Genomic DNA, 25,296 nt, shown 5'->3' with positions numbered 1-25,296 from the left:
TATAGTCAGCCATAAAATAATTCTTAGCAAATTCAAACAACCCAAACTCATAAAAACTACACTCTCAGACCACAATGCAATAAAAAATTAAAATCAATACTAAGAAAATCACTCAAAACCAAACAATTACATGGAAATTAAACAAATTGCTCTTGAATGACTTTTGGACAAACAATAAAATTAAGGCAGAAATAAAATATTCTTTGAAACTAATGAGAGCTAAGATATAACATATCAGAATCTCTGGGACATTACTAAGGTGGTTAAGAGGGAAATTTGTAGCACTTAATGCACACATCAAAAAGTCAGAAAGACCTCAAATTAACCACCTAACATCACACCTGAAGAAACTAGATAAACAAGAGCAAAACAACCCCAAAGCTAGCAGAAGACAAGAAATAACCAAAATCAGAGCTGAACCGAAGGAAATTAAGTTGTGGAAAACCATATAAAAATTAATGAGTCCAGGAGTTGGTTTATTGAAAGAATACATAAGACAGGTAGACCATTAGCTAGTCTAATAAAGAAAAAAGAAAGAAGATCCAAATAAACACAATCAAAAATGAATAAAAGGATGTTACACTGACCCAACAGAAATACAAAAAATCCTGAGACAATTATGAACATCTCTATGTACGTAAGCTAGAAAACCTAGAAGAAATGGATAAACTATTGGAAACTTACCACCTCCAACAATTACACAAGGGATACATTGAATTCCTGAACAGACTAACTACAGTTCCAAAATTGAATAAGTAGTAAAAAACCTACCAACCGGCAAAAGTTCAGGATCAAATTCACGGCTACTTTTTACCAGATGCATAAAGAAGGGCTTGTAACATTCCTACTCAAACTATTCCAAAAAAATTAAGGAGGAGAGATTTCTCTATAATTCATAATATGAGGCCAGCATTGTCCTGATACCAAAACCTGGCAGAAACAACAAAAAGAAGAATTCAAGGCAATATTATTGGTAAAAATAGATGCAAATATCCTCAACAAAATACTAGCAATCCAAATCCAGCAGCACATAAAAAAGCTAATCCACCATGATTAACTGGGCTTTATTTCTGGGATGCAAGTTTGGTTTAACATATGCAAATCAATAAATTTAATTCATTACATAAACAGAGCTAAAACAAAAAGCTAATGATCATCTCAATAGATGCAAAAAAGGCTTTTAGTAAAATTCAACCTCTCTTCATGTTAAAAGCCTTCAAAAAAACAGGCAATGAAGGAACATACCTCAAAATAATATGAGCCATCTATGACAAATCAACAGCCAACATCATACTGTACGGGCAAAAGCTGGAAGCATTCCCCTTTAAAACTGGAACAAGGCAATGATGCTCTTCTCACCACTCCTATTCAACATATAACTGGAAGTCCTAGCCAGAGAAATCAGGAAAGAAAAAGAAATAAAAGGCATCCAAATAGGGAGAGAGGAAGTCAAACTATTCTGCTTCCAGACAGTATGATTCTATACCTGGAACACCGAATAGTCTGCCCAAAAGCTCTTAGGTCTTTATAAACAACTTCAGCAACATTTCAGGATGCAAAATCAATCTAAAAAAATCAGTAGCATTTCTTTATACAAGCAACATCCAAACTGAGAGCTGAATTGAATGAAATGCCTTCTACAATAGCCACAAAAAGAAAAATGTCTAGGAATAGAGCTAACCAGTGAGGTGAAATATGTCTACAATGAGAATTACAAAACACTGATAAAAGAAATCATAGATGACATGAACAAAACTCTCAAAGCTATTTAGAGATTCAATACTTTCCCATCAATTTACCATGGCATTCTTCACAGAATTAAAAACAACTATTTCGTAATTCATACAAAATGAAAAAAGAGCCCTAATACCAAAGGCAAGCCTAGCAAAAAGAACAAAACTGAAAGCATCACACTACCCAACTTCAAATTATACTGCAAGTTGAACAAAATAGCATGGTTCTGGCACAAAAACAGACACATAGACCAATGGAACAGAGTAGACATCCCGGAAGTAATGCTGCACACCTATAACCATCTGATATTCAACAAGATAGACAAAAACATTGAAAAGGACTCCCTGTTCAATAATTGGTGCTGGGATAACTGGCTTGCCAGGTGCAAAAGATTAAAACCGGATCCCTTCCTTACACCATATACAAAAATCTGCCAAAGATGGACTAAAGACTTAAATGTAAAACCTGAAAATATAAAAACCCTGGAAGATATCCTAGGAAATACTATTCTGGTCATAGAATGTGACAAAGATTTCATGATAAAAATGACAAAAACAACTGCGAAAAAAATAAAAAAGTCATAAATGGGAATCATTAAACTAAAGAGCTTCTGCACAGCAAAAGGAACTCTAAACAGAGCAAACAGACTACCTCCAGAATGGAAGAAAGTATTTGCAGACAATGTAAATATAAATTTGTTTAATTTACTTATTGATTTTGGATACTAGACAAAGGTCTACAAGTAACTTAAACAAATTTATAAGCAAAAACAAACAACCTCATGAAAAAGCAGGCAAAGGACATGAACAGAAACTTTTCAAAAGAAGACATACGTACAGCCAACAAGCATATAAAAAATGCTCAACATCACTAATATTAGATAAATACAAACCAAAATCACAATGAGATATCATCTCACACCCATCAAAATGGTTATTACTAAAAATTCACAAATTAATAGATGTTGGGGAGGTTGTAGAGAAAAGGGAAAGCTTATACATTGCTGGTGGGAATGTAAATAAGTTCAGTCATTGTGGAAAGCAGTGTGGCAATTTCTCGAAGAACTTAAAACAGAATTACCATTTGAGCCAGTAATCCCACATTGGGTCTATACCCAAAGGAATATAAATTGTTCTATCACAAAGACACCTGAAAACTCATGTTCATCACTGCACTATTCACAATAGCAAAAACGTGGATTCAATATAAATACCCATCAACAGTAGATTGAATAAAGAAATTGTGGTGCATATAGACCATGGGATACTACACAGCCAAAAAAAACAAAATCATATCGTTTTCCAGCAACATGGATGCAACTGGAGGCCAGTATCCTAAGAGAACTAACAAGAACAGTTAATCAAATACCTCATGTTCACTCTTATAAGTGGGAGCTAAACATTGAGTACATACGGACACAAAGAAGGAAGCAACAGACACTGGGCCTACTAGAGGGTGGAGGGTATGAGAAGTGTGAGAAATGAAAAGCTACCTATTGCATTTTATGCTTCTTACCTGGGTGACAAAATAATCTGTACACCAAACTCCTGTGACATGCACTTTACCTATATAACAAACCTCTACGTGTATGCTGAACCTAAATAAAAGTTAGAATAATAAACAAAACCAAAAAAGAGCAAGTGTTTCTATATGGTCATGAATGATATCTCATTCCGAGAGAGGTGAGAGAGGCAGACTTTATAAAGAGATCACATTTAAATTATTTGTATTATTCTCCCAAAAGCACATCTAACCCATTACACCGGTTACTATTTATCAATTAATATCAACCAAGTGGTCCCCATCTAAGTTTCTTGCTTTGCCTCTTTATTATAATATGTGAATATGTCTAATTACATTTTAAAAATCAAGATTTTAATAATAAGGTGTCCTGAGACTCTTTGTAAACCCAAATCTCAAATTTCATAAATCCTACTTGGGAATTTGATTAACTTAATTTCTTTTTGGCATTCATCTGGTTTCCCCTTAAGTTTTTAACTGGAAACAAGGGCAACTTCTAATCTGGACAAGCCAATACTCATCGGATTTAGATATTATTCCTCCCCAAATTTGTATTACACATTATAAATATTTATAAAATACCTAATTATCGTGGAGAATAAGTTCTGCATGTTCATTATTTTCTTTATGCATGTGTTTGGTTTTAGAATAAGATAAAAATCTAGAAAATTGGTGATTCAAATCAATAATTGCCACCATAAATGTTTTAGGAATAATTTTCAGGAGTGTCCTTGGATATATGATTATAATATCTGATTAATTTTCTCAGCATTGAGACCATATTACAAGTTTGTTCATAAGCAAAGTGAAGTATAAGGAAAAGATTGTCAGAGAAACTTTTATTTCATATCTAACAGAAGAACAATAAATAACTTATTTATTAGTAGGAAAGATAAGCACCCATTTACTTTTTTTATTGGTCTGGTTATAGTATTTATATTTACTGCCTAGAATGACAAGATTTCATATTCATTTTATATATTAAACAAAATTATGATTTAATACAAGTATTTAAAATTAGCATACAGTTTCCTTTTTAAAAATAGTACGAAGAACACTTTTACTATGATTTGTAACTTTGACATTGTTGAGATCTCCTCTGTGACACAGTATACAGTCAATATTGGCAAGTGTTTATATTATTGTGGGTATATATTTCAAATCTTGTTACTTTAATTGTCTTTATACTATTTTTTATCAAATACATATTAATTTAGGTTACCCATGTATTTACCTTGCCCATTGCCCCTCAGCATACGGTGCCCTGGCTTGCCCTATCTTGCTGTGCCTTTTATGTTGACAGCACTGTATTATGAAATTATAAAGAGAACTGAGAGTTCAAGAGGATATGAGATTCAAGAGAAAGCTATTAATAATGAATATTTTCCTTGCCAGGCTCTGGAATCTAAATTTTGTCCCCTCAAACCAACACGTCTATTAGAAGCTCAACTTAGCTTCTTGGCATTTCTCACACAGCTTTTCTTTCAATATGGGAACAGATAAATGCCTCTAGTTGAACAGTCACCCTAAAAGGTAAGCTCACCTTTTGAGACTTTTCTTCTTTCCTGGACCTTGGTCTGACAATTCTTCACAGCCTCAGTTGCTCGCTAAAGCCTTCAAACAATCTTCAAGAAAATACATTAAAATATTTTGTCTGGCTTGTCTAGTTGTTCAATGAGAGAAGACTGGTTGAAACCACATACTCCACTACAGCCAGAAGTAGAAACCTGCCAAATAATTTTTAAACATGAAGCATTAACATTGTGGTGAAATGCATTTCACCTCCCTTTTTCTCCAAATAGGTTACATATAGTTCATGAATAAATATTAGTTTTGGTAGAATGATCCAGGTTTTCCATGAATTTTTATTCCTAACTTTTGTTTTTATTAATGAAAGTTTTAAGAACTAGTTTTCACATGTAAAGATAGGTAGTACTGGTCAAATTTTTTGTACAGTGATATCACTGAATTATTTTTATAACAGCTTTATAGTCAAAATAGCATAGTAAAATATCATAAAATTGATTTCATCATCTACCATTTGTAAGCCTAAGTTTTAATTAATTTTGTGGAAATCTATAAATTGGAGTCTCTTGAATTGTAATGGGATATGTTTCTCTGCTGCTTTCTTACTAGTAACATCAATTTGTTTAATCACTTTTGTATTTGATGCCTTGAAGATTTTTTTTTACATGCTAGCACAATGCTCCATATTAACACTTTGAGATGAATAAGAGACTTGCCTTTCTTTTGTAAAGGCAAAAGAAGGATTGTGCAGGGGAGATGGGAAAGTAAAACTAATTTTGCAACCTTTTGGCAGGTCAGTTTAGAAAAGAGTAAATGCAATAACAGGATTAGGAAATGAATACCTGCAAAAAATATACTGACCTGCGAGTCTCATGAAAAATCATCATATACTCCCTTGAATCATATACTCCCTGAATTTGAAGAAAGCTGATATACCTCCAAACCTCAGAAATTCTCAGCTCCAATACAGTTAGTAATTTTTTGCCTCAATATATAAAATAAATAGTGCTGGGTAGGCTTAAAACCCTTTGACACAGGCAGAGTTCCTATGTTTTTTTTTTCTTTTTCATACATTTCCTATCTTAACCACCCAACTAATAAACATAATCATATGATATTCCATTAGATTTAAGATTAGTATCATATTGTTTTCTGGCTTGCATTTACAAGTTGTATGTTTATTGCATTTTCCTTGATGCATAACTGTCATCCTATGAGGGTTGGTATTCAATATAATTAAAAATTGCTTAAAAATCTTTAATAATATTTTCTGTCATTTTCTTGACACCTTTTTCCTTCTTTCTTTCTTTCCTTCTTTCTTCTTTTTCTTTTCTTTTTTTCTCTTATGTGTCTTAAAACTTCTGTAATTAACAATAACTATTAAGACATGAGCATTTATGCTTCACTTCTTGTTTTAGATCCTATTAAGTAAATTCAATTTTTGTCTTTTTCTTGAATCCCCTCCTCTTTTGAAGTATACAGAGGGGATTAATGTTTAATATCTCCAATCTCTCTCTCTCTCTCTCTCTCTCTCTCTCTCTCTCTCTGTGTATGTTTGTGTTTGTGTGTATGTGTATTATATTAAAGACTGGTGTCATTCCACTTCTTGATTGTTCTTACAGGACATTTCCCCTCTTTATTCTTCTCAGACTTTCCTTCTTTACATCTCTGTTGTCTTTTAAGATTTAAAACTTTCTTCTCTTCTGCAAGCTTTTAGGATCTTCTCTTTATTCCAGGATTTTAATTTCAGAGTGGTGTATGATATATCTTGGAGTGACCCTGTTGGCATTCATTGATCTTTAATTCGGTGGGTCATTTCATATAAGAGTGTATCTTTGAGCCCTGGGAAATTTTTTGAATTATTTATTTGATTATGTATTTTTTCTGTTTTTATGGTTTTTTTTAAACACTCATACTCTAATTGGAATTCTTTTAATTTTTAATTTTTGTGGGTACCTAGCAGGGGTATATATTGATGTGTTACATGAGCTATTTTGATATGGGCATAAAATGCATAATAATCACATCAGGGTAAATGAGGTATTCATCACCTCAAGCATCTATCCTTTGTGTTACAGACAATCCAATTATACTCTTTTAGTTATTTTTAAATGCACAATTGAATTATTTTTTTACTATAGTCACCCTCTTTTGCTGGAAAATACTAGGTCTTATTCATTCTTTCAAGGTATTTTTTGTACCCATTAACCATCTGACATCCTCCCTCACTCCCACACTATCCTTCCCAGCCTCTGGTAACCATCCTTCTCACTCTCTATCTTCATGAGTTCAATTGTTTTAATATTTAGCTCTCACAAATAAGTGAAAACATGCAGTTTGTCTTTCTATGCTTGGCTTATTTCCGTTAACATAATGACCTCCAGTTCCATCCATGTTGTTGCAAATGACAGGATCTCATTCTTCTTACATCTGAACAATACTCCCTGTGTATATGTACCATATACCTAGATATTGCTGATGGTTATTTAGGGTGCACAGCTCTTTAGTCACCAGGTGATGGGTCCTGCCAGGACTGAGTCCTTCCCTTCAAGACAGCAAGTTCCCTTCTGGTGCAGGGTATGCCTAGAAATGTTATCTTGGATCTAGGGCATGGAATGGGTGACCTCACAACTCTGACTGGTGTCCTATCTTACTGTGACTAAGCTGGTATTCAAGATTCAAGACAAAGGTCCTCTTTACTCTTTCTTTTCCTCTCCTCAAGCAGAAGGATGGGTTCTGATCTGGAGCTGTAAGCTGTGCTGCCTAGGTTTCAGGGAGTGTTGGCACAAGTGCTCCCTTAGTTGCCCTGGCTGGTGTCTCATTAGGTCATGGTCCCCAAGTCCACTGACTATAAGCCCAGCTCAGCACTAGGACTTGCCTACAAGTTTCAGTCCTTATTGCCTAGACAGCCTTTCTAGTTTATGTAGTACCCCAGAGCACTTTAGCCAATGGTGGCAAGGCTTACCAGAACTCAAATTCTGACTGCTGGAAAGAGCCATTCCCCTCTGGTGAGAGCTGGTCTAAATGCTATCTCCATGGGTGGGATTCAGCTGAGTTCAGTGATGTTTTGCTTTCCATTGAGACAGGGGAGCATGAGTTTAATGCAATGTCTCGCAATCACTGTGCTCTCCCTCCTCCAAGCATACAGATTCTCTCTCTGCACCAGGCTACTGGAGTATGTGGGAGGGAGTGGCATCAGCCATGCAAGACTGTTTTCCCTGTGCTTTTCAGTGCTTCTTTTAGAGATACGAAGTTAAAACCAGGTACTGTGAATGCTCACTTAATTTTTGGTTCTTATGAAAGTGCTTTTTCTGTATAGCTGTTAAATTTGGTATTCCTGTCGGGGAGATGATTCGTTGGAGGCTTCTATTTGGCCATCTTGCTTCGCCTCTCTTTTTTCTTTTTTTGAAGCTTTTATTTTCCTATCTTTTCTCTCCTGTTTTTCATCAACATTTCAGGGGACTTCCTGAATATTGCCAACTAACCGTTCTATTGAACTTTGTTAAAATTTTTCTATAATATTATTTCTATAGTTCTATTTCTGATTATTATTAATTTTATGATATCTTGTTCATATTTCATCAGTGCCATATGTTCTATTATCTCCCTGAGGATAATAATTTGTATATAGGTGAACATAAACTTATGTAAGTATTTTCTTTCTGAGAATATAAAATAATTAAATGTATTTGCAAATAATGTGTGTGTATGTGTACATGTGTGTATATATACATATATACACACTATATATACACGCACACTATATATATATATATATATAGTTTGTTTCCTAAATTGTTTCTGCTTTTCTCTAATTAATTTTTCTTTTTTTTTCTTTCATCCTTGTCTTGTATGATAAGACTTTACTCAACTTTCCGACGAACCTTTAAGTATAATTTGGAGATGTATGTACATGGATGAGGATAGATGAAAAGAGGTTTCATTGCAGGCAATCTGGTGGGAATCAGATCATTTTTGGAGTAGGTCATGAAATATCATTTTCCTAGATTGGGGAGTACTAGTTACCTGGATTTGGGGTGACAAAATAGGAAATCTGGAATTTCTACTGTTCTGATACAGACTTTTAAATAACTATTCTGCTTTTCAGCCTTACCGTTTACCCCCTTCTCTTGAGATATTTGTTCACTCAATAAATAAAACTTTCTAGAGTGTCATATTGCAGTTCAATTTGATTTTTTGAGGTGTGGCTTTTCTTTTAACACTTAGATTTCAGTGTTCACTGCTCGTCTAAATCAGTTAACACTCTAAACTAATTTACTCTTCTATAATTTCACTGACATCTCCCATCTGTTGTCATGCTCTCTGCTATTCTCTTTGTCTTCCTTGGTTTATAAAATTATATGTCTTTACTGGTGCTGAACTGGAATTTTGTGAAGCAGAAATAGTAAAGATATTTCTCAATATATTTATCTGAAGAATTAAAGTTGATTTCAAGGCCAGTGGTATTTTCTGATATTGATATGAGAGGAGTAAATATTTCAGTTTTTAAAATCAAAGAAGTAAACATCTAGAGGAATGAATCTACCTTGCCTTCACACTCAGGATATCATATTACCAAACTGCTTAAATGATGTGCTGTAATAGAATGAGACTGAGAAATAGGATATACTCTTATTTCCATCTTGTTGCAATAACTCGTGTGTGTGTGTGCATGTGTGTCTGATTCCTCTTTCTAACATCTTTAAAGCCTAAGGCACCTTTTTTTAATATACTGAAAAATGACAAATATTGTTCTTTGAAGCACAGACCCTAGTTTATCATAAGAAGTGCTTATCAGTTTTTTAGTATATATTTTCAAAACTATGTTTAAAGAATAATATAAGACCAAAAGAATGGGCTTGCCTATTTTTAGATAAATTTTGGAAAAACAACAAATCTATTTTTCTTACTCTTCTTCTCAATTTATTTAAGTATGTTTTATCTTCAAAATTCTATATTTCTTTTTTCCTTTTTTCCAAATACTTTTTAAGTAGTCTCAATCATTTCACAATTGGCTAATTAGTGATATGCACATAGTTTTCAAATTGACATTTACAGCCCTGTTTTATTCTTGAGCAGCATAACTACATTTTCGTTTCTTATTAGACACTTAGATCCTAATATTTTTCATCACCTCAACTCATATTTAAAAATGCTGTTTTTGTCACAATTTGATTGTGATTATAAAGAATGAAATACTGTTTTTTCTTTCTCATAAGAATTATTTTAATTTACTTCCCCAAAAAGAAAATATAGCTACTTTGCTTCCAGAAAGACGAAGTAGATATCTTTGTATAACTAGAATCCCTGAAAATTATATATAAAATAAGCACTAGAAGACTGAAAGGTAGAAAGAAAACAGATGGCCTAGACACATAGGATACAAGAAATGACATGGTGTTGAATTCTGTAGGTTTTCTTTTTGCCTCATATATTGCCAGCTTGGAGCTAAAGAAGCCAGCAATTCCAAAACATGAATAGATACGCACCACCAAAAACAGACTTCCACTGTTGACAAGTTACAACAGCTCACCTTAATGCTCCCTTCAGGGTGGTGTCAGAAAAGGCTGAGTCAGGAGGCAGAACTTTCATCTTCAATGAGCAGTAATAGGGTCACACCTGTTGTGCCAATGGAGATCATGTGGAAATCCTGGGCTTCCATCCTCAACTGGCCATGACAAATCAATCCTCCCTCTCACCAATGGGATGATGTCAGAGTGCTAGATGAGGCCTAGTGAACAGTCCGACTTTCATCACAGCAAAATGGTAACGAGGCCATCACCACTCCCTCATTATATCAATGGAAACCATGTATGAAGCAGTAACTCCCCACAGAAAAGACAGAGAAAAAAATAATATGTTAGAAGGTAGAATAGTAAAAATTACCAATTTGAATATCAGAGACAAAGCAGACTATAAACAAAAAGGCTCAGAGGCTTCTCTGACTATAACAGAAGATATAACATTAGTGTCACTGGAGTCACAGAGGGAGAGGAGAAAGATGTCAGCATGAGAAATCACATGGCCATATCATTCAATGTACACACACAAAATAACACTTGATAACCACTTCATATTTATTCATAACAAAAACTCCCAGAAAAATAGGAATGGAGATAACTAACTCATCTTGATAAAGTATACAAAAAACCTCTAGGTAATGTTATACTTAATGATGAAAGACTTGGTGTTTTTCTCCTACAATTGAGAACAAGACAAGAATATCTATGGCGCTCAGGTTTATTCAGCATAAAACTGGAAGTTTTTGCCAGTGCAATAATGGAAGAAAGAAATAATAAAGATACACAGCCAGAAAAAGAAGAAACAAAACTGTCCTTATTATAAATGATGTAATTGTCCCAATAGGAAACATCAAGGAATCTACCAAAAAACATCTAGAACTTACAAGTATGTTTAGCAAGTTTGGAGGGTATTAAATACATAGTAAAAAATCAATTGTATTTCTAAGTACTAGTAGTAAATATGTGGATACTAAAATTAAAAAATACAATAAGATTTTCAATCATTAGATATTAATAATTTAACATTAAAGTTTAAATAATATTATGTATTAATTCATACCTAAATTAAATATTTAGGTATAATTCTAACCAGAACTGTATAGAACTTATATGCTTAAAAATAGAACCCACTGCTAATAGAAATGAAAAATGTAAATAGATGCAAAGAAATACTATGCTCATGGACTGTAAGACTCAACATGGCAAAATTGTCAACTGTCTTCAAATTGATATACAGATTTAATGCTTTTCCCTTCAAAATCACAGTAATATTTATGTAGATATAGATATAAACTATTTTAATATTTCTGTAGAAAGGCAAAATATCTAAAATTACTAAAACAATTTTGAAAAAGAGTATAAAATAGGGGGAAACACTCTAACCAATTTCAAGATCATGATATAGAGTACTCAAAACTGTGCGTTATTGATATTTCAATTAATATGGAGAGGATAAACACTCAGATCAATATCAGATCAATAAAACAGTATAGCGCATCCAGAAAAGGCCGATATAAATATGCCCAACTGATTTTTTTTTACAAAGGTGCAAAAGCACTTCAATGAAGGAAAGATAGCCTTTCAACAAATGGTGCTATAGCAATTTGGACATCAATAGTTAAAAAATAAAACTCAATCTATGTCTCATACATTATATAAAATATTAGCTCAAAATACATCACAGACTTATGTATGAAATCCAGAACTTTGACACTTTAAAACAACATACAAAAGTCTTCATAATCTAGGGCTAGGCAGAGTACTTAGTCTTGACACTGAAAGCATGGTCCATACAAAAAATTTGATGAATTAGACTTCAACAAAATTAAACATTTTCTTTTTCTGCAAAACACTCTATTAAGATGAAAAGACAAGATACAAAATTGAGAAAGAATATTTATAAACAATGTTTATGACAAAGCACTAGGATCTGGTATATGTAAAAAACTCTTGAAACTCAACATTAAAAAAAAATTATCAATCCAATTAGAAAATTGCCAAAAAAAAAAAAAAAACCACGGGGAACATTTCAGTGAAGAGACACAGATGGCATATGTATTAGTCTTCTAGTACTGTCATAATAAAATACCACAGACTAGGTGGCTTAAACGATAGAAAAAAATTTTTTCATTGCTCTGGAGGCTAGATGTCCAAGATTTAGGTGCCCTTAAGAGTTGTTTGCTAGAGAGGCCTTTCTTTCTGGCTTGTGGATGACCATCTTCTCATTGTGTCCCTACACGACCTTTTCTCTGTGCAGTTCAGGGACAGAGAGAGCTCTCTCATATGTCTTCCTCTTCTTATGAGGACACCAGTCCTACCAGACCAAGGCCTCACCCTTAAGACCTCACTTAACCTTTATTTCCACTATATAGGCCCTCCTATATAGTGCACTTTATTCTTGTTTTGTTGTGTATTAATATGAAAACCATGACAAATAAAGTCATATTTATCTCCAAATAAAGTCATATTGAGGGTTAGAGCTTCAATATATGATTTTTATGGGGAAGACCATTCAATCCATATCAGCATATAAATCCATAAAAGATGTTTCAAGTCATTAGTAACCAGGAAAATGCAAATTAAAGCCACAATGATATATCATTACTAACACCAAACCCTAGCATGTATTCAGAAAAACTAGATCATTAAAACATCACTGCCAACAATGTAAAATGGTCTAGCCACTATACAAGATGATCTGGTGTTTTCTTAAAATATTAACAGTAAAATTATCATACAATCCAGCAATTGAATTCTTGGACATTTTCCCCAAAGAAATGAAATTGTATGTTCACACAAAAACCTGTACATGAATGTTTATCATACCTTTATTTGTACAGTCTAGATACCCTATATGAGTTGGAAGGTTAAACAAAGTGAACATAGATACCAGGGAATATTACTGAGCAATAAAAAGGAAATAAACTACCAATGCATAAACAGCTCAAATGGATATCAAAGGCATTATACTTGGTGAAAAAAATGCAATCTCAAGTGATCACATACTTTATGTGACATGTTAGTTACAGTTATATAACATTTTTGAAGTTGACAAAATTTAGAGAAATGAAGAAGAGTTTAGTGCTTGTCAGGAACTAATGAGGTGATAGGGGCCAAAGGAAAAGTAGATGTGGCTATAAAACAGTAATGGGGGATCCTTCCAGTGATGGGACTCTTCTGTCAATATCCTTGTTGTGGTATTATACTATAGTTATTAAGATGTTATCATTGATGGAAATTATGTAAAGGATACAAGGGATCTCTATTATACTGAAATTTTCATCTGAATTTATACTTAAAATAAAAAAAAATTTATTTAAAACTCCAGAATTGCAATCAAAACTACTAGCATAACTATATATATATATATATATATATATATATATATATATACATATACAACTAAAGTAGTCTCTTTAAAAAAAATCAAAATATATTAGAAACACAGGCAATATAGTTAAAAAAAGAAATTCATAGACTTGAAGATGACTAAATTAAGCTTGTTAATTTATATGGAGAAAGAGCTCTCTTATTCTCATTAAAGTTTATTATTTGTCTAGTATTAAGTCTCATTAATTTATACTCACTTCTTTGTCACTGTAGAAATGTACTGCAGATGACCAGAAGGAATTAGTGTATTTTTTTTCATAAAATTTATGATTTCATTTACAATTGGGATTTTGTGTTTAAGGTTCTTTGTGTGGATATCATCATTCCACTAAAAAGGCAAGGTAGGTGAGGAAGAAGCATCAGGACCTCTTATATAGATGCTTAGACTCAGAATTACTTTTCGTCATGGTTTTTGTATTAATACACGACAAAACAAGAATAAGCACAATATTCCGAATTTTGAGTCCTTTATTCCAGTGGTTAATACTGAATATTATTTTAAAAAATATCTATTCTCTTTTATTTGAAGTTTTACCAATGTCCTCATAAGACCTGTGCTCTGATGTATACACAAATTACAACTTGAAACGATGCTCATATCCTTAGGAAAAGGGTGGTGGCATGTGGGATGCAATTTAAGTAGATCTGGGGACAAATGTTGGAAACTGGTTGGATTTATTGTTTGTTTTTGGTGTTTTTAATCCAAGATTTTCCTAAATATTTAGGTGGTAGGCTGAATTTTCTAGATAATTAGCTCTATTCTCTACAGGGTTATTACAATGGGCTTGGCCTTTAGTTTGTTGATTTTACCTGCCTTGCTTTGCATGCATGTGAAGAAGTCATTGCATCCACTTAAGCATTTATGGCCACAGGTTATGTTGCCTATTGAGGAGACCTTGCTCTATCTCAGTAAACAAGGGTGCCCATCCACATTCAGCAGCGCTTAGCAACATGAATAATCAAATCAATAGCTTGCAGTTGTGCATATAAAACCAATTTTAAAATATACCAAGTTCATTTCTGGAAACTGTTACAGATCAAGGCTTATTACATTCTATTTTTTTCCTAGTGTCTTTAGGAAAGAAATTTGTTGATGTTGAACTAAGTGAGCAACAGAATTGTTCCTATTTAGTGTGGTCAAGCTCTAATTTGCAACTAGGATTTCAAGGCAACTAAGTGCTAATTTGCAGGTCTATAATACATGTTATTTAGCTACTTCAAAGCATGGTTATAGACAGTCAAGACAACAGAATTTTTTAAAGAGAAGAAAATTATCACAGTCATGCTTCCAAAGAAAATAAATAATTTTAAAATACCTAATTACTATGTATCTGCTTAGGTTTTATGTAACACCAAAAATAATTTGTGAGCAAAAATACAAAAATATAAAACTAAAACTTAAACACACACACACATTTTTATTTCTTCTTGTAAAATACCAAAAACTCTTGCATCAGGATTATATAATGCAAATCTTATTAAATTTACTCACATGATGACTGTATCCTTTCCCATTCAAGCATAATAAATATAGGTGTTTCTTGTCATTTTTTTTTTAAATTGGAGATGACAATTATATGGACTTTCCTGTTATGACCAATTTCACACAGGATTGGTGGTCACATTTTACTATATTTTGACTTTGCTCTGTTTTCATGTTCCAGGGAGAAATGAACCGACAAGAGATTACTTATATAGGAAAAGTTGACACACATCACGGAACACATAATGATATCCTCTTATTCATAATAGTCCATATTTTGATAAATAAAATTCAAAAGTGAAAGATTAAATTATTAAAATAATTAATAATGACTGGAAGTACTTGATGAAACCAGATCAATTTTGAGAGTAAAACACTGTTTTCTAAATATGAGAGAGGAAATAAAAATACAACTTCACTGTGTAGACATTTAAACCTTGTACAAATTTGACTGGGCTAAAAAAATTAAATGGTTTAATGATAAATTAAACTTTAAATTTAGAATATATTGAGAATATTCATGTCATTACAACTTGTACATATTTTAATATAAATATTTGTGGCAATGAACAACCTACTTTGAAATTAACCTAGGGAGGTGATGTATCCCATAAGCCTCAAAATCTCTGGATCCAATGTCTCTAGGGGACATTCCCAGGCTCTTTTTGTAATCAGCTGGTACCCTATATCCATGGTGCCACAGCCAAGTAGCCTGTGTATAGTCTATCAAAGAATAATAATGATTGTATTATTGTTTTTTCTTTTTTTAAAAGAAACGTTTTCTATTTTTATCTAAAATAATGTACATAAAAAGAGAAGAAAAGCAAGTACCATTTAATTTATATCTAATCCTGTAACCTATTTTTATTGGCTCAGTTTATGACTATATATAACATCTGAAGACATGTATAAACATTAAGCATTGTTCTAGGTTCATTAAAATCAGAAAAATAGTTTACATCAGCTAACAAAATTAAATTGTAACTTCACATTAAAATGTGATATTTCCTTTATTCTAGAGAGGCTATGAAACTCTAAAGCATAGTGGCAATCAATCTAAACTTCAGACATGGAGTTTTGCTGCTTCAGTTCTTTTCAGGCCATGTCATTAGTTGAAATAACTCCCCTCGGCTTATTTACACTTTAAAGATTTTTTCAATGCCTAAAAAGAACATTTTCAAATAAAATTTCTTAACCTGAAAGCTAAAGTAATCAGGGTATCTAAATGTGTTTTGACTACATCCGTTCTTTAAAACACTATTACCCAGAATGCTCAATTGGCAGTGGAGTTCTCCACATTGCAAACTCTGTCTTGGATTTGAAACCTATGGCATCTCTGACTTGGAGTTAAAATCTAAGCATTACTACCATTTCAGTTAAACTGTCAGCTAAAAGATTTTGAAAACTTAGCAGTATAATTTGCTAGACTCTTTCCCTATCTGTGATCAAAACAGTTATGGCCTAAGTTTAAGCAAATGAGATTAATTTCGATGGGCAAGAAAACAATTAGGGCTTCAATTGTTTTAGTTTCACTGACATTTTGAAGTCATTTTTGACCTACTTTTCACCTTGTCACTGAGTCTTGTTTTCTATCCACACATGAAAGATACTCTGTTATGGAAATTGAACAGAACATTTTCAGATTTTTGTTTGATAGCATGTTGTTATCAACTTTTTATTACATTTTATGACATCTGGTTGATAACCTTTAATAATTAGAGACTTAATTTTGTTACCTAGAAGAGCAAAATGGATTTAAATATGCAATAGAACAATATTTTAAAATATGTCCCAAAATATAATGTGTAACATTAGGTGAAGAGCAATGTCAACCCTTTTGAAAACTCTTTTCCAAATGTGGGTACACAGAATACAAAAAAAAAAAAAAAAAATAAAGGTCAATATAGATGTTCTGAAGGAATTGTCGGGCCACGTCTGTGATTTTTCTACTCATAGCTTGTAATTTTCAAAGACTCTCACATCTGAACCTTTGTTATTATGTACTTATGTTTCACTGAAGTATATCCTTACGTGTTGTCTTTCACTTTTTTTTTTTTTTTTTTTTTGGGAGACGGTGTCTTGTTCTGTTGCTCAGGCTAGAGTGCAATGGCATCATCTCGGCTCACTGCAACCCCTGCCTCCCAGATTCAAGTGATTCTCCTGCCTCAGCCTCCCGAGTAGCTGGGTTTACAGGCGCCTGCTACCATACCTGGCAAATCTTTGTATTTTTAGTAGAGAAGGAGTTTCGCCCTGTTGGCCAGGCTGATCTTGAACTCCTCACCTCAGGTGATCCACCCACCTCAGCCTCCCAAAGTGCTGGGATTACAGGCGTGAGCCACTGCATCAGCCGTCTTTCACTTCTTTTGTAGATTTTACAGTGTCCATTCATGCTTTAAATATGGCAGCGATTACTTGATGTGTCAAGATATTATTTCATTGTCATTCATGAGAAACAGCAAGGCATAATTTCAGATGGGGCTTGTGGTATGTCAAGTTGTTCAATACGTATATTAAAAATATCTTAGAGCATTCATGAGATGTCTTAATCAAATGACCTTTCAACCTGTCCCTAGCTGTCCCTATTTAAAGAACAAACCCATGATGTTGAAAAAAATTTTTTAATGTAATGTTATTTAATTTCTAACCTTTTTCTTAATCTTCTCTGCTTATTAAATAATTTCAGCAATATACTTCATCTAGTCTTAAGAGTGCACATCAGTTAATCACAACATATCAAACTGCTTAATTAAATTTAGCTGTAAGACACATGAGTCTGATCCCACCAGTGAAAGGAGTTTAAAATACTGACATCTTATGAACTGCATTAATTTTCAGAATACTAGGGTGACTTCTCTGCAGTCATGCGATGAGATTCTTGTATTTTACAGATTTGTTAAACTGTCATAAGCAAGAAAAACTGAGTTAGTCTCATTTACCATTTTTAGTTCAGATAACTGAATATCAGTTAATCCTGATATGGGACAGCATGTTGATTAAGCAATTTGCATATTCACTTAAACAACATCTTTTAAAAAACACTTTCAAATATCCTAAACAGAATATGCAATCCTGATCTGGCCGTAGGAGAAAAAGTAAGATGTTTCCATAACTGGTAACAAATAGCACTGCAGAGTAGTCAGCTACATTATAGCTATTTTCAACAGTTACATGATGAATTGCCTGTTACTCTGGAGGCTAGTTTTTCCGTGTTAAAATTGACAAAGTTGTTCATGTAATCTGCACTGTAATTCTTATTGTGTTAGTAAGTTTTGTCACAACAAGGTGATAATTTATATACATAATACAATAGGAGATACCCAGTTATAATGTTGGCCTATAGCCAGACATTTTCCTCAATTGTATGCTTTATAAGAATAAAAAATACCTTTATTTTCTTGTTGACATTGTAGTATCTATTTAACTGATCTAAATAAAAGAGGAAAGGCATCTTGGAATTGTTAATAATTTGGTTTTTCACTAAGTTACTACTATTGGTGTGAGTTTTTTGAATACTTTATAGTCTCTTTCAAATTCTTCAAAATAATGGCTTTAGTTCAGTATAAATTTGATGACAAAAATATTTGTGTTATTTGAAAGCATTGGTATTCAACTCTTAAAGCATTAATAAGTATCTTGTCAAAATGGGTAATTGGAGAGTTTGGGATCAGATACCAGTGGCTACTTAATTATTATAATTTCTTCATGTAGACCTGGATTCTTCCTTCAATCTTTTCTATTTCAGTTGAAACATTTGATGATGGGACTATGACCCAGAAGCCCCAAATTTTGTATTTTATACTTGAATCTAGAATTTTTCCTTATTTTTACACAATTACTAACATAACAGGTAAAATATAGAATTAAGACAAACTTTAAAATTTAGGTATTTGAGAAATAGGAAGTGTATCCAATTCCTCAAAATAAAGCCTGTCTTGCCCTGTGCAATAGTTATTATTCCTTTCTCAGCATTAATTAATTTAGCTGGAACATCACATAATTAAAGAGTTGATGATAACTTTGATACATAAAATTGGTTTTTGTTTAATGTTGAAAATTATTCAAGATCAAAAGGAAATAAAAACAGGAAAATGTGATTTGAATGATCATTACTACTATATCTACAAGTAAGAGAGAAGACAAATTAGGAAATTAATAAACAATCCCAAATGTAATAATTGTATTTTCAGCAGTGTTGTATAATTGACACACAAAGCTATTAAGTAAATGTGATATACTATAGAGTTTCTTCTACCCTCACCTGTGAAGAATGACTGAAAAGGCATAAGCTCAGTAATTGCTTTAATTACCAGAGATTCTCCAGTTTAGGTAGGAAAAATGAAATATGTAAGTTCATTCCTCATGAAAGCACATTTTGGTTAAATACCTCCAAACATCTGGGTATATTACTGCATTGCATGGTGAATGAAAATTTCAATTGAGATATATTTTTAAAATGGTTACAGTTCTATTGAATGGAAGAAATATCTGGGCTATTCTTAAACTTTGATCTCAGATATTTGTGGTTACAAATAAGTCTCTCAAGTATATTTATTAGTTTATTTTTCATTAAAGACATATAAATATTAAATTTACATTCTATACATGTATATATTCAAATTTCTAAAATCTTATGAAATTACTATTTTTAAAATAGTGCCTTGAAGGGCAACATTTTTTTCCTTTGTCATCAGGAAGACTTCTAAATAAGGTTGTAATTCCTGATTTCTTCAATCGAATAAAACTTTTGGGAAAAAAGCATGTTTTAAAATGATTTCTAAAATATTATTACAGTGTTCAGCCATCTTTGCCGTCAGAAAATTTCAAAATTAATGTAACAATTTTGCAGCATAGCAACATTTATAAATCTACTCTCCTTCTCCAACTCCCTTTAAAATACTGAAGGAAATATTTTAAGTGTTCTGACACATCATAAGCATGACCATATCAGAAAAAAAAAAAAACCCTGGTGCAGCTGTAGAGAAAAAAACACAAGTTTAGACTCACTGCAGCCTGCCTACCTCAGGCACTATGACTGGCTATGCTACCCTCACAACCCTCGGGAGGGCAGACTCCACTGTGGAGTCCTTTGTAGACCTTCCCTTCCTACCCAGGGCTATGTTTGAGATCTTTTCAATTTCCTGAAGTAAAAGCAACATTTTTTTCCCATTTATCTGCAGAGCCCTGAGAGCATAAACTTCTTAATTTGATAAAGTAAACTGTGACAGTGTGTTAATGAGGGCTGAGCCATTTGTATATTTTAATAGTAATTTTCTAGAGATAATTATTTCACCTCAATTCAAAGACGTGCCTCTAGCTATGGGAATTTTATTTCAGATGTAAACAGATCAGGACCCCATGGTATTCTGGAACACTCACCGTTTCCATCATCTCTTTTTGTATTATTTGCACTCTCTGTTCTTTGTTCAGGGCTGGAGATGAGTAGGCTTGGGGATTGGGAAGGGATCCGTTATATTTCAAAGCTCTTTCAACCCTGTGGGGATGATGCTTACATTGAACCAAGGACTCTAGTAGTGACCAATTCTTTCTTTTCTGAACCACCACTGCAATATGAAAGAAACTCAAATTTAAAGCATAAGCTAACTGTTCAATCACTTACCAGTCCTTTCTGTCTCCCTCAAGAGGATGCATGGCCATGCTTTCAGCTGGGTTTAATTCTAAACAGCAAGTCATAGTGGCAGAAAGGAAGGCATGCTTGTAGACTTAGACTCTGCCTTTAATTCTGTCACAGATTGTCATGTAATTATAAACCAGCCAGTGTTTGTTTTTTGTAGGGAAAAGACAGAGAGATCAGACTGTTACTGTGTCTATGTAGAAAAGGAAGACATAAGAAATTCCATTTTGATCTGTACTAAGAAAATTGTTTTGCCTTGAGATGCTGTTAATCTGTAACTTTAGCCCCAACCCTGTGCTCACAGAAACATGTGTTGTATGGAATCAAGGTTTAAGGGATCTAGGGCTGTGCAGGATGTGCCTTGTTAACAATATGTTTACAGGCAGTATGCTTGGTAAAAGTCATCACCATTCTCCATTCTCAATTAACCAGGGGCACAATGCACTGCGCAAAGCTGCAGGGACCTCTGCCCAAGAAAGCCTGAGTATTGTCCAAGGTTTCCCCCGACTGAGACAGCCTGAGATATGGCCTCATGGGAAGGGAACGACTGGACCATCCCCCAGCCCCATACCCGTAAGGGGTCTGTGCTGAGGAGGATTAGTAAAAGAGGAAGGCCTCTTTGCAGTTGAGATAAGAGGAAGGCCTCCATCTCCTGCATGTCCCTGGGAAGGGAATGTCTCGGTGTAAAACCAGATGGTACATTCCTTCTATTCTGAGATAGGAGAAAACTGCCCTGTGGCTGGAGGCGAAATATGCTGGCGGCAATGCTGCTCTGTTACTCTTTGCTACACTGAGATGTTTGGGTGGAGAGAAGCATAAATCTGGCCTACGTGCACATCCAGGCATAGTACCTTCCCTTGAACTTATTTGTGACACAGATTCCTTTGCTCACATGTTTTCCTGCTAACCTTCTCCCAACTATCACCCTGTCCTCCTGCCCCATTCCCCTTGCTGAGATAGTGAAAATAGTAATCAATAAATTCTGAGGGAACTCAGAGACTGGTGCCAGTGCTGGTCCTCCCTATGCTGAGTGCCGGTCCCCTGGGCCCACTGTTCTTTCTCTATACTTTGTCTCTGTGTCTTATTTATTTTCTCAGTCTCTTGTCCCACCTGACGAGAAATACTCACAGGTGTGGAGGTGCTGGCCCCCTTCAGTTTTTTGTTTGTAAGAGCTGAAAATAACAAAGATTTATGAAATTTGATGAAAATGGTAATGGGGTAACTTGGATACTACATTAATGTTTCTGATACACATTGTTTCATAATGAATGTATTAGAGAACATAGTAAGGAAATTATGTGTCAGTATGCTCTCTTAGCAAAGATTAATAATAATTTACATAATAGTGCCAGACATTCAGCATGCTCAGATTGAAGGGGAAAATTATTGGTGAAGGGAGTGGTTCAAAAGGACAGAGGATAGTAGTAAGTAGGACGGCACCGGCAAAATTGCAGGATCATGGGCTCTCACAAAAGAACATAGTTTCTGGAAACTTCCCTAACAGGATTGACTTGGAATTTAGACCCACGCTGCTGGTTAGAAGACAAACTAACCTTATGTAAGCCTCTTCCAAGGACAAAGTATTCTGTTTCATACTATGTCTGCCCTGAAGCTCTATGCACTTCTCCTCATGATTTCAAATATAATAACTATGTGTACACTTCAGTTCTCATACTTTTATGACACTGAGTGCAAAAGAAAAGAGAGCATTGGTATTCTAGTTTCCTCAGTAAGGTATCTAAAGATGGAATTACTTCCTATGCACTTCCAAACCGAAATGTAGGAACAGGAGATATTGCTATCTGCACTTTGAAGAGGAGAAAAATGATAAGAAAAAGGTAATGAATAATGTGATCATGTTTTGTAAACTAGGAGAATTGTTTTTTCATGGGTATAATAGATCTTCACTAATATTTTAAAATTTAACTTATGATTTTTAATTTTGTGCAATCTATCAGTTTTAGAGCTGATATTTCAGAGGATGATTATATCAGAAGAAATGCATAATGTTAGTAAAGTATAAATTTTATATGCATTATTACTTTATTTTAAAATTTATTTAATTTCCTCTTGCGATCAAAGAATAAAATAAAACTGTCCTTGGAAGAAAGACAAAGTTATAAATACCAACCTTAACCCAGCCATTAACATACTGAATATTAGGCAAATATTTGATTTGAAAGATGCAGATAATGATTTTACTGGAAATTGTTTTTGTAAGGAATTATCTCATTGCTTTAGTTCTTTAGGTTAAAACAAAATGAGATTATATTATATTAGAAACATAACACTGCCAAATAATAAGGTATGGAGAGAATGTAGGTGACACATCATTAAATATAAAATTCATAATTCTAATGCTGGGGCATAAACTTGCAATATTAACATATGTTGAAAATATTTGATAACATTCAGCTTTCACATTAATAAGCATTAGACATTTCCATGTTCAGGTACTCTGAATTTTCAGAATTCCATTGCCTTTCATATCTAGCCTATGACAAGTATAATCAGAGAAAGAACATGGAGCATGTCTAAAATTAGTGGTGGTGAAGCTCATTATAATATAAGTAAAATGGCCGGGCCTGGTGGCTCATGCCTATAATCCCAGCACTTTGGGAGGCTGAGGCGGGTGGATCACGAGGTCAGGAGATCTAGACCATCCTGGCTAACACGGTGAAACACCGTCTCTATTAAAAAATACAAAAAATTAGCCAGGCGTGGTGGCGGATGCCTGTAGTCCCAGCTACTCAGGAGGCTGAGGCAGGAGAATGCTGTGAACCCGGGAGGCTGAGCTTGCAGTGAGCCGAGATGGTGCCACTGCACTCCAGCCTGGGCGACAGAGTGAGACTCTCTCAAAAAATAATAATAATAATAATAAAAGTAAAATATATTAAATTCTCATTATAGACCAGGTGCAGTGGCTGGCATGTGTAATTCCAGCACTTTGGGAGGCCCAAGGCAGGTGGATCACTTGAGCCCAGGAGTTCGAGACCAGCCTGGACAACATGGGGAAACCCCTGTCTCTACAAAAAAATTAGCATGGCTGTAGTCCCAGATAAGCTGGAGGCTGAGGTGGAGGGATCACCAGAGTCACCATCGTGCCCCTGCACTCCAGCCTAGGTGACAGAATGACACCTAGGTGTCGTTTGAGACACATTCTAGGTGACAGAATGTGTCTCAAAACACACACACACACAGACATCCGTCGACACACACACACACACACACACACATATATATACAGCATATATGGGTAGAACTATCAATAAACCTTAATCCTAACATTGTTATTTGGAATTTATTTACACTCAGATTTGTATTTGATTTCATTTGTTCTCAGTCAGAAATTAGGGTCAGTTGTGCTATTTTCAATTTTCCACACACAGCAATAGTGCACTGTATTACATATGGTTATTAATATTGTGTCATTTATTGATGTGTCTGATGTATTTTGTTTTTTCTTTTAAAAAAGTACATTTTTGGCAAGTTTTAGAGCTCCAGTATTTTCTGGCTGTAATACTTTTGACTGCTGAAAGTAACTTTGGTACCTGCTTCTCACCTATGTTCTAATTAGCATCATTATTTTATATTAGGTTGGTGCAATAATATAATTGTGTTTTTTTCCATTACTTTCAATGGCAAAAACCGCAATTACTTTTGCACCAACATAATAGTATTTTCCAAAACCACCTGATGTGGCAAATTTCACAAAACTGTTTCATTTTAGGGGCAAATATCTTATTCTTTCTATAGATACTAATGATGCATCTATCGTTCCAGTTATTATTCTACTCATTAGGGACGTAGCAGTGACAGATAAAACTACAGTCCTCATATAGTTTACTTTTCAGATAAACAGTCAATAAACAAAGACCTAAATAAACTAATAGCATCAATTCTTCCTGTGGTTAGTATCATGGAGAAAATACAACATAATTTAATAAAATAACAAATTGTGCTGTATATGGTGTGTGGGTGTAGGAAGCAATTTTCTTGGATAGGACAGCTGGAAGGAGGTTACTTTATTCCTTGGTGGTGAAGAAAACAAAGGCATTTTTATTAATTCCAAGAAATTTGAACATTTTACAGAAATTCTAGAATCCCAGAGATTTCAAAGTAATCTATGCAAAATACAAGAAAAGACCTTCATTTACTGGTGAACATTTTGGGACTGATGATTGAAAGAGGTCAATGAGTCACGGAATTCTAAGCTTTTTATTTTAATGACAGGAAAAATAGGCCACCCTATCTAGAGTCCTTAAAAAAAGATGTGACTATATTCATTCTCAGGGCTCTAGAATAAACTTTGTCTCTCCTTCTCACTTGGTTTACTTCACAATGAATATCCATATAAATTTTTCTTCACTATTGTTTATGTTTAATGTATGTTTTGTTGGAAGAAAGTCTGGTATGTCAGAATCAAACAAAACTTATTAAAATTTCTATTCTGCTGCAGAAAAACTCCAATTAGAGGCACCACAAGT

The 25,296-nt window shown here is 33.8% G+C and overlaps 1 protein-coding gene across 7 annotated transcripts in view, besides 1 other annotated feature; it reads left to right on the top strand.

Moving 5' to 3' along the window:
* The window catches only part of PABPC4L (poly(A) binding protein cytoplasmic 4 like), a 253,443-nt gene that overhangs the window by 133,952 nt on the left and 94,195 nt on the right, over window positions 1-25,296 (top strand). The gene's annotated exons all lie outside the window — the stretch shown is intronic.
* Window positions 7,355-7,564: a silencer, noted in NCBI's record as "fragment chr4:134981541-134981750 (GRCh37/hg19 assembly coordinates)". NCBI's record gives its function as "represses an EF-1alpha promoter that drives an FKBP-Casp9 reporter gene in an ReSE screen in phorbol 12-myristate 13-acetate-treated (for megakaryocytic differentiation) K562 erythroleukemia cells {active_cell/tissue: K562(+PMA)}" and the evidence as "EXISTENCE:reporter gene assay evidence [ECO:0000049][PMID:32094911]".

The sequence above is a fragment of the Homo sapiens genome, chromosome 4 (genome assembly GCF_000001405.40).
Source record: "Homo sapiens chromosome 4, GRCh38.p14 Primary Assembly".
NCBI lineage: Eukaryota > Metazoa > Chordata > Mammalia > Primates > Hominidae > Homo > Homo sapiens.
The sequence above is the reverse complement of the archived record's forward strand: the minus strand, read 5'-3'. Positions and strand labels throughout refer to the sequence as shown.